Source organism: Homo sapiens, chromosome 2 (genome assembly GCF_000001405.40).
Source record: "Homo sapiens chromosome 2, GRCh38.p14 Primary Assembly".
NCBI classification, from domain to species: domain Eukaryota; kingdom Metazoa; phylum Chordata; class Mammalia; order Primates; family Hominidae; genus Homo; species Homo sapiens.
In genome coordinates, this window is record NC_000002.12 from 65425661 (window position 1) to 65438483 (window position 12823).

The window sequence follows — 12823 nt, forward strand, 5'->3', positions numbered from 1 at the left end:
TTGTTCCACGGGGCACTGGAGCATCAATACAAAATATTTCTTCTACTTCAAAGTCACTAAGAGCCCTAGAAAATGCCTTAAAAGCACCATCACAATGTTCTAGATTTAAATAGTAATTTTTAAATATTTCTAAGAATAAGTTATCAAGTTTATTGAGATGACGGGGTCTTTTTAAAAAACTCGGCCTAATTTACCTTAGTAAAAACAAGCCCAAACAAATAATCACATACACCAAAACTTTCTGGTCTGCCTCTATTATCACTTGTTCAATTTCTGAAAATTTTGCTGTTAGACTGTATTTGTGTTCAGCCGGCAATACAAGAATGATGCCAATATTGGAGTTCATCAGCACAGCTGTATCCACCCTCAAGTGTTAAGACTCCAGCAGAACCCTGCAGCTATTGAAAATTGTTAATACTGTGATTTCTGCAGAGATTCTCCTACAGAGGCATAGAAACAGGCCCTGTCTTATTGTGGTCAAGATTTTTTACTTGTCAGTTCTCGCAACAATGAATGGAATAAAAATGGGTTTTGAGTTACCAATGACAGATCACTACCACCAGATAGTTCTGCATGGAATTTCCACAAAATACCAGAGGCTCAATGTGAACATGGTTGAGTTTCTCAGGAGGCTTATATATATATATACCCTAAGTTAACCAAATACAACAATTGTAATTATTGCATTAGTCAGTAGGGATGAAACAGCACTTTAAAATAATTAAATCCATTATTTTATTCAATAGACATTAAGCAACCACAATGTGCCCAATGGTGTTGGGCCAACAACTAGAAAACTAGGCATTTGAGAAGTAACCTTGAATCCAAAAAACTCAAATTCGGATGCAGAATCTAGCTGGGTATAAGCCCAACTTGAAATAATAATTGCCATGTAATGTAGGGAAAAAAATAATACACACAGACATTGATTTTGACTTGCATTTTGACTTTGACTTGATTTTGACTGGGAGGAGGGGGTTATGGTGGGAAAGTCAAAAAGGACCACCCAAACGCAATGGCTCAGAGATGGCTGGGGGCATGAGCAGAATGTCACCTACTGGAGAAGTGAAGGAAGAAAGAAGAGAATTTCAGAATAAAAGCAAGAGTAAGCAAATTGCTAAGGCAAAACAGTTTTGGGTATTGCTACTGATCCACTTTGTATATATTGTACTGGATAAAAGGACAGGAAAGCAGAGGGGACCAGCTTTAGTTAGAAAGGAGGTTGCATTTGCTAATATTCCCATGGAAACAAACCCAGACCACAACCAGCTGATGGAGCTTAGTCCACTCCAGGTCTACCACCTCACTAGCTGTTCAGCCTTGCACTAGGCACTTAAGTTTATACTATGACAGGTCCTAGCTTACAAGCTCCTTAAGGTCTTTTCAGGTTTTTTTTGTTTTTTCTTACTTTTAAGATTTTTTTTTCCTGGAGACAGGGTGTCACTCTGTCGCCCAGGCTAGAGTGCAGTGGTACGATCACAGCTCATTGCAGCCTCGACCTCCTGGCCTGAAGCCATCCTCTCCCCTCAGCCTCCTGAGTAGCTGGGACTACAGGTGTGCGCTACCACACGCGGCTAATTTTTATTTTTTATTTTTTTGGTAGAGACAGGGTCTCACTGTGTTGCCCAGGCTGGTTTTCCTGGCCTCAAGCTATCATCCTCCAGGCCTGGGTCTCCAGTAGTGTGGGGATTTTCTGAGGAATAAATCAAGATTCTAATTCTGCACAGTCAACTCCATATTTTTAACATTTAAGGGTTCTACTCATGTATAGTAGAACCATACCCCCTGGTAGAAACATACCTCCCTTTTTAAGGCAAACACAAAGAAAATGGATCAATACTCACTGTATCGGTTTAATTTCCACAACTGTTATTTCAGTTAACATAGATCTAACATTCCAATAATAACCAACTCTGAATTTGCACTACTCCCATTATCTTTGAGGTGTATCACAGAATTCTCAAGCCCAAATTTATTTAAATCCATTTTAATTCAGTATGCCCCTCATGCTTCACAGCATTTTCTGGGAAGATAAGTGAAGTGAGAAAAATGATGGCAATGACAGATTGTCACCAGTTCAGAAGAATAATGAACAAGCATGATTGGCAGAAAGGCTGCGAGCTCTGAGTCAGAACGACTGAGGCTGGACCACCCCAATGGTTCATAGTGGTTAGTTAAGAGCACAGAGACCTTCCTGAACCAGGCTACTGGAGTGCTCCATTCCCAGCTCCTTCAGTTACTCACAGGATGACCTTGAGGAAAGGACTTCACCTCTCTGTGCCTCACTTCTCCCTATTATAATAGGGATAATAATACCAACTACCTCGCAGGATTTTTAAGAAGACTAAATGAATAAAGTGCTTTAAAAAAATGTTTGCTGTCTCGGGCAACTAACTTGACCTTGGCTTTCTCATCAGTTAAATGGGGGTAATACCTTCTTCACAGGGTTATCTGAAAATGAAGCTCAGCCTGAAAGAAATCTATCTCAGTGCCCTGCAAAGAGCCACATAGGGCACCTGTTTTATGCCTAGCCCTGTACTATAAGCTTTACGTAGGCTGTCTCATTTAATTCTCACAGCAGCTCCACAAAATAGGTAGTGTCTATTCCCATTTTGTCCACTCCATATAAAACTGACATGACATATGAAAGTAAACTGCCTTAGATCATAAAGTGAGCAAATGGCTAAGCCTTAAGCCTTAAATACACGTTACAAACGCATTTAACTCGGGGTCTTCGATTGGTCTCTGGCTGAATAACCAGTTATAAAAGACATTTTTGCAGACAATTCAGGCAGAGTGTTAAAGACACCAGGGAATTATTAATTTTGTAAAATGTGATAATAGTATTGTGGTTTCACAGAACAGTATTTTTATCTCTTGAGAAGTAAGCTCAAATATTTAGGTACAACAGTCCCAATGTCTGCAATGTCTTTGAAATGGTTCAGCAAAAATACTTACACCTGTTTTATTAATGGGAAACATTTCAACGTTAGGGAAAATATGACTGAAAGGGAAGCTGCAAATCCATTCCCAGCAAGAAGTGGGTTACAGAGAAGAGTTCATGAAAGGAACAAAAGAAAAAGCTGAATGGCAGCTCGATGTCTCCAGGGTTAGAGCTTGGTTCAGTAAGGTTTATCTTGTCTGCAAATTTCCAAACCATTCATAGCCATGATCAAACGCTTTAAAGATAGTGACAAAATAGGTATGGATTTAAAAAAATTTTCCAACCCTATGCACAGAGGACGACTTACAATAGTTTGCTGATGCTCTTCGCTTCTTAAATTATATTTTTAAAAGTCTGTATAATTGTAAATTTTAACATGCATTTTTATGTGGAGGGGGGACGAAAGAGAATGGTCAGTGTATTTTCTATATGGAAGATATCTTTTGGGACCATTATCAACAAGAGCAAAGAAACTTTCCTGAATTACCATATATTAGAAGAATTTTAAATTGACATGGAAAACAACATTAGAAAACAAAACATTATTTTTTTAAATTAAGCACAATTTTACCATTTGCAAGATTCTGATTTACTGCATTCTGATGCTAAATGAAACAGATATTATCTGGACCATTCAACAAAACCTTTACTACATGTAGACTATCAAGTCTATTTTACCTAAAGTACAAATATATCTTTCCTAGGTCTCCAGTTTGATGCCACCAGTTCTCTTAAGTAGCAAACCCTGCCTGGTTCCAAAGGTATCTGAGAGACCTCAAACATAAAATCATTACAAGAAAAAAACAGATCAAATTCACCCAAAGTAGGAATCTAGCAAAAATCTAACCAAATATGGCTACCTTAATCAAACAATAATTTTAGCTCTAGACTTAAAGACAGTGGCAGCAAACAACAATAAAACAACAAAAAAGCAATCACAGCAAGCTCTGTAATTCAGAGAGAAAAACCTTACTGTCACTAACATTTAAAAGGAATTTTTCAGATGCGTCATTACACAGGTACGTTGAACAAAATAATAGACAGTGGCTACCATGGCAGTTTACAGCCCACGAAGTCGCTTTCTTCTCAGGCATTTTAAGTTTTGAGCCAAGGTCATCACATTAAAAATAACCCCTATAAGCCCATTTCTTCAGTGGCTAAGGTGCCAAGGCTTTCTCAGTCTCTAAGTGAAACTAGAACTCCTCAAATATCTATCCTCTCAACTGGACTCGTGACAGCAGTGGAGGCTACGGCTTCATGCTGAACTTGCTCTGAGAGCCTGAAATGGAGCTATTCTTTCCTCGCTGGTGATCCCACTCGAAATCCTTCTGCTTTGGATAGCAGATGGAGAAAGATGCAAGGCTGACAAGCTGCCACAAAAAGAGCCAGGTCAGGCCTGTATTCCCAAGGGGTGGAGCCAAGGTAGAGTGGTCAAACCTCTCCAAGAATCTGCAAGGCCAGAGCACAGCAACCAGCCTCACTGCTACTACTGCTACTCTGTGTGCAGGTACAATCGAGGGCCCATAAAAATATTGATTTATTGGTCACGTTCAAAAGGCAGCAAGGCCCAGCAGCATATTCCTTCTCTGTATTTCAGCCCTAAAAGCGCAACTTTTTTTCATTTTACCATTTTAAGATGCTATATACGAAGACAAAGCAAAACGTCTGAAATAGAAACACCAGCAGATGCGGTGGGACGTCTGCGACAGGCACAGCAGCAGGGATCCTCTCCTGTGACGGCTGTCTGGAAGATCAGGGGTTACTGCAGTCAAAGTTCCCTGGGGACTCACAGGAAGGAAACTGAAATTCCCTTTCCCAAACACCAGCCCCACTCCCGCCCGGACTGGCAACAGCAGACGCCAAAGGATAAAGGGGGTATATTTAATAAAGTGAGTAGATTTCCTAGAGTAGGGCACAGCACTGTCACCTGCTGCAAGAGACAAGCCTCCCAGTCGCCCAGCCCTGAGTCACTTCCCCTCCCAGCACTCTTGAGGCTCAATGCCTGCGGGGGGCAAAAGACCTGGGGCCTCCGGAGCACGCCTTCCGAAGCCCACACTCCCCTGCAAAGACGCGCGCGGGGCCTCCCTCCAGGGCGCGTCCCCGCGGCTGCCAACCAGCTCTTTGCGCCCAAGCCCGCGCCGCCGCTACCTTGGCTAATGGCAGCACTGAATGAAAGGAACGGATGCAGGCTCCGGATTTATGAATGTGCAGGGGAGGAGGGGAGGGATATCATGTGACAATAAAGGAGCGCGTCTTATTCACAAAAAAAAAAAAGTGGCTGGTGGCGGGCACAGCCACTGAGCAGCAGCGGCGGCCGCCGCGCGGTGACCGCTCAAACCCCAGGCATAAGACTTGAGGCGTCGGGCCCCGCGGCCCCGCCCCCGTCGCACCCGAGACTGAAAACGCCTCAGACCAGGGAGGGAAAATGCCAAACTGGACCCCTGGACCGCGAGGCAGGAGGCAGCTGCACCTCCGCCCCGGGCTGGCGACAGTCACGGGTCCCGCGCGGGGCGGCCCAGGATCCCTCCGGCGGAGCGCCCCGAGCATTGTTCCCCTCGGGCCCGCGGGCCAGGCACAAGCCCGTGCACGCGCACCCGCGAGGACACTCACATACACACACACACACGCGCGCCCCCAGCGCGATGCCCCGCACGCCCCCGCCGCACACGCCTCGGTCCGCCCCGAGCCGCCCGACCCCGCAGGACGCGTGTGCCGGCCACAAGCGCGTGCACAGGCACTCACGCGCCGCGGGGCCCCTCGGGCGGCTCCAGCACGCCGGCCCGCGCGGGGACCCTGGCGCACCAGACCCCCGCGCAGCCCGCGCCTGTCCTCCTCTCGCTCCGCCGTGTTTTTTATGAATGAAAATGTGGTATGCAAATGAGAGCGATTCAAGAAAACGAAATGGCGGAGCCTAGGCCCCAGTGGGCTCCGGAGCGGACTGCAGGGCTCGCGGGGCGGCGGGAGTCACAAAGTCACTGTGCAAAAACCCACCAGCCCCGGGAAGCCGGAGTGGGGGTGTCAGGTCTTCCGCTCTAGCCGCCGAGGATTTCGGGGGCGGGGGAGCTGTAAGTCCTCCGAGAGGGAGCGGAGACCGCCGGGAGGTCACCCGCACGCCCTTGGCCCCCGGAGCTGCCACCAGCCCGCCGACCCTAGGCGTGCGCCCGCCAGCCCGCAGCAGTTTTTGCCCTCTCCTCACTTCAACAAGCAGGGAAGCCTCGCGTCCCAACGCCGAAAGGTCAGCGAGTCGCTGCACCCCACGCCAAGTTCACCCAATAAGCGTCCCCGCCCGCATCCTCAGCCCCGGCCCCCACGCTGCCCCTGAGGGGCACCCTCGTCCCACCCCGCGACCAAACTTACTCGTCTGGGTGTGTTTCTTCGGTCATTTTCTTGTTCACCTAGACGCCTGTCCCGCGGCGGGCAGCTTTGCTCCCTTCATCTTCCTGTCCGCTCGCCCCCCTTCTTCACATCTCCGGAGATCGCCTGATTTGGGGAGGGGGGGCGGCTAGAGATGAAGAGGGCGCCGCAGCAGAAGGGGAAGCAGGGCGCGGGATAGGGTTTGGGGGAAGGGGTGCAAAGGCAGGCTGCGCGGGGAGTGAACGCCGCAGCGCCGTGGGGAGAGGCGGGCGGAGGCTCCGGGGGCTCGGGAGCGGGCAGAGGGGGCGAGATTTGGGAAGGGGACGGCGGTGGGGGAGAGCAGGAGAAAAACAAGCGCGCCTCGGAGCGGCAGGGACTGCTGCGAGGAGGAGGAGAGCGCCGGCCGCGGGTGGGGGGGCTCAGTCCGGGGTCGCCCCCGGGGGGCCGGGCCAATCACGGTTCCGGGGAGCGGTCGGCGGCCGGGGGAGGTGCGCCTGGGAGGCGGTGCAGGGCGCCCCGTCCGAGCCCCATCTCTCGACTCCACCGATTTACTCCATATTGGATTCTCACCGCCGCCAACAGGAGGAGGAAGTAGGGCGGAAGCGATGACGTCTTCCCAGCGGCCAGAGGTGGTGGAGTGCAAAAAGCTTCCTACTTGCGACCGAAAAAAAGGGAGAAGAAAAAAAAAAAAACTTTGTCCCGCCTACTGAGCACGCCCCGCTTCCTCTCCCCCTCCCTCCTGGCTTCCACTCCCGGGGGAGCCGCGGAGCCGAGTTGTTTGCTTGCGCCGCGACCGTCTGGCTCCGAATCCTCCTTGATTAGGGCTCCGGGTTTTAGGAAGCCCGAGAGGAGGGAGGAGGCGGGAGCGGAGGACTCGTACACATCTGGCTCCCGTTTTTGCCCCCTCCCTCCTTCCAAACACCAAGATTAAAAATCGGGGGGTTGGGCGGGGGCAGAGATGGGAAACTCAAGGGAGGGGAGGGAGTAAAACAGCTGAAGAGGTGCTCAGGCTCAGAGGCACAACTACCCCCACCGCGGGGTGGGAAGGTAGGGGCGGCGCAGGTGCCAGGGGCTGGCTTCTCCAGCCCAACCCAACCAGAGAGGGGAGGGGGTTCGACTTTGCCAAGGTTCTGAAAGGCAGAGGCTTTTCCGTTTCACGTGAATCTTGTGATTTTTTTTCTTTTTTGTCTCAATAGAGGAATGGATTTTTGTTTTGTTTTGTTTTGAGATGGAGTCTCGCTCTGTCCTCAGGCTGGAGTGCAGTGGCGCGATCTAGGCTCACTGCAACCTCCACCTCCTGGGTTCAAGTGATTCTCCTGCCTCAGCCTCCCGAGTAGCTGCGACTACAGGCGCGCGCCACCACGCCCAGCTAATTTTTGTATTTTTAGTAGGGAGGGGGTTTCATCATGTTGGCCAGGATGGTCTCGATTTCTTGACCTCGTGATCCGCCTGCCTCGGCATCCCAAAGTGCTGGGATTATAGGCATGGGCCACCGCACCCGGCCAAGGAACGGATGTTTTTAAGAATCATTACTCATGCAAAGAAAAAGGTCAACCCAGCACAGCCCAGAAACGTTTGCATTTCCGTAGAAATTATGGAATTTCTCGCGTTAAGAAGCAGCCCCGGCCGGGCGCGGTGGCACACGCCTGTAATCCCAGCACTTTGGAAGGCCGAGGCGGGCAGATCACCTGAGGTCGGGAGTTCGAGACCAGCCTGACCAACATGGTGAAACATCGTCTGTACTAAAAATACAGAATTAGCCGGGCGTGGTGGCGCGTGCCTGTAATCCCAGCTACTCGGGAGCTGAGGCAGGAGAATCGCTTGACCCCAGGAGGTGAAGGTGGCGGTGAGCCAAGATTGTGCCACTGCACCCCAGCCTGGGCAACAAGAGCAAAACTCCATCTCAAAAAAAAAAAAAAAGAAGAAGAAAGAAAGAAAGAAAAAGAAACAAGAGACATAGTCCCTATCCCTTGCTGCTCTCCAAACACAGTAGACTTTTCCATCCTCTTGAATGTCCATGGGACAATCCAGATACGATGTTAACTAAATAGCAACCACTGAACAGGTTAAGAGATTAAATATTTGCCTCAGGCTGGGCGCAGTGGCTCATGCCTGTAATCCCAGCACTTTGGGAGGCTGAGGTGGGCGGATCACCTGAGGTCAGGCGTTTGAGACCAGCCTGGCCAACATGGCAAAACCCTGTCTCTACTAAAAATATAAAAATTAGTTGGGTGTGGTGGTGGGCACCCATAATCCCAGCTACTCAGTAGGCCGAGGCAGGAGAATTGTTTGAACCCAGGAGGAGGAGGCTGCAGTGTACCGAGATTGCACCATTGCACTCCAGCCTGGGCAACAAGAGCAAAACTTTGTCTCTAAATAAATAAATAAATGCCTCAAATTTAGTATTCCTAAAATTTACATACATATAAGAGCCACAAATGCTCCAAAAAGTTTCACCTTGAGTCAGGGATAAACTGGTGGTTTACTCCAGGCTTTGTGCTTATCACAGCCATGATCTCTGTAGACATGGAGTAGGGTTCACGCTGGTGATGTGTGGTGGTGGGGAGGGCATGAACCAGGGGATGGAACAGCTTGGTTCTGGTTTTCTCCTAGCAGTCCTGAGACCCCGAGTGAGTTTCTTTATAAAACAGGAATAACAAGGCCAAGCTTGTCTTTATCAGTTTTTGAGGCCATTGAGAGTTCCTGAGAAAGTACTAAGCAAAGGCAAGATCTCATTGTCTTCCAAATCCTCAGATGGCTAAGGAATCTACCCAAGTCTCACCTTTGGCCATGGTTGCTCTTCTCCCTGGGAGTGCTGAAAGAGATCCCACCCTGTTATTCCTGAACTTCCCAGAACACAGGCACTTACCCATGTCAAAATTATCCACCCTGTGGGCATCTCTTGGGCTCCACCCTCCAGTTTCAAGGTACACAAATGGCAAGGTGGCAGGTGAGGTGATTAATTTCTGCAGGTAGGCCAGCTCTATGAGCAGGTTAAATTGGTGTCATCACCACTCACTCAGCCAGCTCTCTGCTTAATAGCAGCGAACGACTGGCCCAGCCTATGGACCAGGTTGCCAGGGGAACAATGATAAATATTCTGAGGTCCAGAAGTCCCCAAGTCCCCACTGGGATCACCTGGTACCATACTCCAGCTGGGCTATCTCAGGCAGGCCCTTAGGTCCACTGAGCCTTGGGTTCAGTGTCTGTTGGGTCGGAATAGTACCCACAACATAGGGTTGCTGGGAATCTTAAATGGGCTATACAGATTCCTGATAGCCCTTTCCTCTCTCTGGCCAGCTGGTTTACCAAATGCCCCCCTCCACTCTGTCCTTCATGTTCCTTTAAATGAAGCCTGCCAGTTCTCTTCTGTCTTGTTCAACACCCAAAAGGGGCCTTTTGATGGAAACATTACTAGCAGGTCACTTCTTGGTCCTCCCCATCAATTACTGTGGTTGAGGCAAGTCTGACTCCTGCAGCTCCATAGAATAAATGAGGACATTGGGCGAATAACTCAGATATGTCTGTTGATCTGAACATCAAGGTGTTATCAAAGTCCATTGGATTGTTGCTGGAATAGGGGATATCACAGATTTAGGGCTTTAATTGATGTCACTGCTGAAAGAGCTAAGGACCCACATCCCTGTCTCTCCCCACAACCGGCAGAACAGGGGGCTGCGGGAATCTCTGAACACGATCAAATCAATAGTGCTCAGTCAGAGTAGGATCGTAAAGCTTCAAAAGTAATATCGATCTGCTCACAACTTCACGCAAACCCAGCGGGGCCCCCAGCAGGTCCCCCACCTACAGGCTTCTCAGTTCCGAGTCCTGGGCGAGGGAGCACCCCCACCCCGGCCCTTCCCGCGGGCTGCCCGGAAAGTCCGGAGCGCGGAGCCGGAGCGACCCTCCGCGGCCGGGGACGGGCATGCTCAGTAGCCCCGCAGGTCCTGTTTCACTGGGAAGCCGTCCGCGGCCCCCACCCCTCCCGCCTGGCTCGGGCGCCAGGAGAAGCGGACATTTTAGCCTCCTCTGCAATCCGCTCTCTCGTTCGTGTCCTTCTCCCCCCTCTCGTCCGGTAGGGCCGGCAGTGTAGATTTCCCCAGGGGCGGGGGTGGGATCTGAGCAATCACTCGCCCTCCCCCCTCCCAGGGGCGGGGAGGGGGTGATTTAGGGAGGACTCCACGGGGCCCAAAGGTTCGCACCGCCCCGCCGCGGCCCAGCCTGCAGAAGCCCCCCGCTGCCGCGGCGCCCCCGCTCCCCGCCCCGCGAGGCGCGCGCAGCTGCGCCCGGGCCTGTCCTCGCTTCACCCCCACTCTGCCCCTTCGGTATTTCTCAATGACCGGCGCTCCGAGGACACTTCCGACGCGGAGGGAGGGGGTGTCATTAGCGCTCGGTTATCAGTTCCTTCCGGTCTCCCCGAGCTCAACCCTGCGCGCGGCCGGGCCGCGCCTCGGGCGATCTGGTGCCTTTATTATGATGTTTAAGTAAGCAGTCGTGTGTGCCAAGTGAGTTTGTAGCCCAGCTGTCTCCCCCAAGCCCCGCTGGCAGGAATGGAAACCCAAGCTCTCTCGTAATGCAGGGGATGATGCAAACTTAGAAACTGACCCGGCGCCCGGGAATGAGGCCCCCCCGCCCCGGGCGTGCGGCGGCCCAGTCGGGGCATGAATGGCTGGAGCCCGATTGCATAATCCGCGCGGTATAAATAGCCGGCGGGCGGGCCGCTGACGCGCTCGGTTGTGCCGTTATCGTGCAATGCTTCATCCCCGGTGCCGTTCAATCCCAGGTCGTTTTCCCTTTCAGCTGCAATGCCGGGATTTTAAATAGCAGAGATGAAAGGCCCCTGCCCCCGCCTCCCTCCTCCCCTGAGTTCATGTATTATGAATGAAACGGCAGCCTCGCTGCTTCCTGAGGTGCTCCACTTCAGGTAGGAGAGAGACTCAATGTCAAGGCAGCTGGCTACTAAAAGTTGGGTGTGTGCGCGCGTTGGGGAGGGACGGAGACCAGGAAATAATTGACAGGCTGGGAAACATTCTTTTCGAGAAAATGTAACCGCTCAGGGTTTGCCTCTGGAGTTTCAGTTTACAACTGTACAAGCCTCAGTCAATTTAAGAATGGATTATGCAAAGGGGCTTTCGACTGCGGCTTGCTCGCCCTCACACCCTAGGCCGCTGTCTCTGTGGAAAGTGCTGTTTCATTCAGAGGAGCTGGTTTCTGCCCTCCCAGGGAGGCAGCACACATCCCCTCTCCCCTCTCATCCCCCACTTTAAGATGAGCCCTGAGAACCCTTGAGGGTCTCGAGAAAAGCGAATGCTGGTCACTGTAGCCATTCTCTAGTTCCAGAACCTCTTGGAAGCCTCAGCGAGGTCCAAAGCTGAGTAAGTTTTAAAACGTATTTTTTTTCCAACAGTTTTTCAACAATAGGTAGTCATTTTAAAAATTAAAGGATGAAGCAAGTTTTCGTCTTCTCATGAATACCAGATTTCAACTTAATTTCTTAACATAAAAATGGCCAGTTCTTCACAAATGCATTTCTGACATGTGAAGGGCAATGGTCAAGGTCATGATTTTTTTCACTGGATACCCATTGCTCCAGTCTGCCTTGAAAGCACCAGGGCTCTATGAGGCAGTGGGGATACAGGAGTGAAGAAACCCAGGCTCCTTCCCTCCAGGGATTCGGTCAGCTGGGGCAACAGGCATGTAAAAAACACATGAGGCCGCGAGGTAACAGCTCTGAAAAATGGAGTAAGCAGAAGAGAAAGCAGGGGTCAGGGAAAGGATCCTTGAAAGATGCTGGGAGTGCCCTTAGATAACTGGAAGGGGAGAGATCTCGGGGATAAAGAGCCGGGTTACCACAAAGGCCCTAGGTGCGAAATAACTTTGGGAGGAGGGGGAAGGAGGTGCGGGAAAGGGTGGAGAAGGGTAGAAGCCAGGTCAGGGAGGTCACACAGGCCTTGCTGAAGAAGGTTACCCTTTATTTTGAAATCATGGAACCTTTTGTAGTCGATTCACAGCTGATCTTTGTCTAGTCCCAGATCACTGCAGTGGCTCCCAAAGTTATGCAAATGTGGGGCAAGTGGGCATCCATTGTTCTGGGATTAGGGCATCAAACCAAATTCACAAACTGACAGCTCCTAGGCCAGATAAGGCCCCAGACAAGTTTTGTTTTGCCTGTTTTTTTTTGTTGTTGTTGTTGTTTTTTAATCAAGCTAACAGCTTAAAACCAGAATATTTCACATAAAACTCAATATTTTTGGTTCCTCCTGAAAAAAATTAAAGACTTAGCAACTGTGAGTGCCAGATTTCTGCGGGGTAACAGTGGATGGTTGCTGAGTGGAGGCTGCCCTGTCTGTCAGGCTTCTGGCTCCTGGAGGCATTTGAGCTTTTGACCCCTGGCATAACAGGATGTTTTGTGACTGGGTGAAGGCCCCACTCTGAGACCCCAGGCTGGTAGAGCTTGTCACTGGGTAAAAGCAATTTGCATGAGGAGCGCTGGGCCTCTTGGGAGGCCAATCCCCAATCTCCTTA

General features: G+C 50.4%; 1 protein-coding gene across 3 annotated transcripts in view, besides 7 other annotated features; it reads right to left on the reverse strand.

The window, feature by feature from the left end:
- SPRED2 (sprouty related EVH1 domain containing 2) overlaps positions 1–6939 on the reverse strand; it is a 125425-nt gene extending 118486 nt beyond the window's left edge. For all 3 annotated transcript variants that reach the window (XM_005264202.6, XM_005264200.6, NM_181784.3), the window contains exon 1: positions 6302–6939. In XM_005264202.6, coding sequence (XP_005264259.1) covers positions 6302–6327 — 26 coding nt within the window. In that variant the 5' untranslated portion in view covers positions 6328–6939. The remainder of the gene's footprint in view (positions 1–6301) is intronic.
- Positions 5282–5791: a silencer, noted in NCBI's record as "silent region_11579". NCBI's record gives its function as "represses an Ori minimal core promoter by ATAC-STARR-seq in GM12878 lymphoblastoid cells {active_cell/tissue: GM12878}" and the evidence as "EXISTENCE:reporter gene assay evidence [ECO:0000049][PMID:35858748]".
- Positions 5822–5871: a silencer, noted in NCBI's record as "silent region_11580". NCBI's record gives its function as "represses an Ori minimal core promoter by ATAC-STARR-seq in GM12878 lymphoblastoid cells {active_cell/tissue: GM12878}" and the evidence as "EXISTENCE:reporter gene assay evidence [ECO:0000049][PMID:35858748]".
- Positions 6642–6841: a silencer, noted in NCBI's record as "silent region_11581". NCBI's record gives its function as "represses an Ori minimal core promoter by ATAC-STARR-seq in GM12878 lymphoblastoid cells {active_cell/tissue: GM12878}" and the evidence as "EXISTENCE:reporter gene assay evidence [ECO:0000049][PMID:35858748]".
- Positions 10050–10289: a silencer, noted in NCBI's record as "silent region_11582". NCBI's record gives its function as "represses an Ori minimal core promoter by ATAC-STARR-seq in GM12878 lymphoblastoid cells {active_cell/tissue: GM12878}" and the evidence as "EXISTENCE:reporter gene assay evidence [ECO:0000049][PMID:35858748]".
- Positions 10450–10569: a silencer, noted in NCBI's record as "silent region_11583". NCBI's record gives its function as "represses an Ori minimal core promoter by ATAC-STARR-seq in GM12878 lymphoblastoid cells {active_cell/tissue: GM12878}" and the evidence as "EXISTENCE:reporter gene assay evidence [ECO:0000049][PMID:35858748]".
- Positions 10936–11094: a silencer, noted in NCBI's record as "fragment chr2:65663730-65663888 (GRCh37/hg19 assembly coordinates)". NCBI's record gives its function as "represses an EF-1alpha promoter that drives an FKBP-Casp9 reporter gene in an ReSE screen in K562 erythroleukemia cells {active_cell/tissue: K562}" and the evidence as "EXISTENCE:reporter gene assay evidence [ECO:0000049][PMID:32094911]".
- Positions 11689–12495: an enhancer, noted in NCBI's record as "OCT4-NANOG-H3K27ac hESC enhancer chr2:65664483-65665289 (GRCh37/hg19 assembly coordinates)". NCBI's record gives its function as "activates a minimal SCP1, AML or CMV promoter by ChIP-STARR-seq in naive and primed H9 embryonic stem cells {active_cell/tissue: H9 hESC(naive and primed)}" and the evidence as "EXISTENCE:reporter gene assay evidence [ECO:0000049][PMID:30033119]".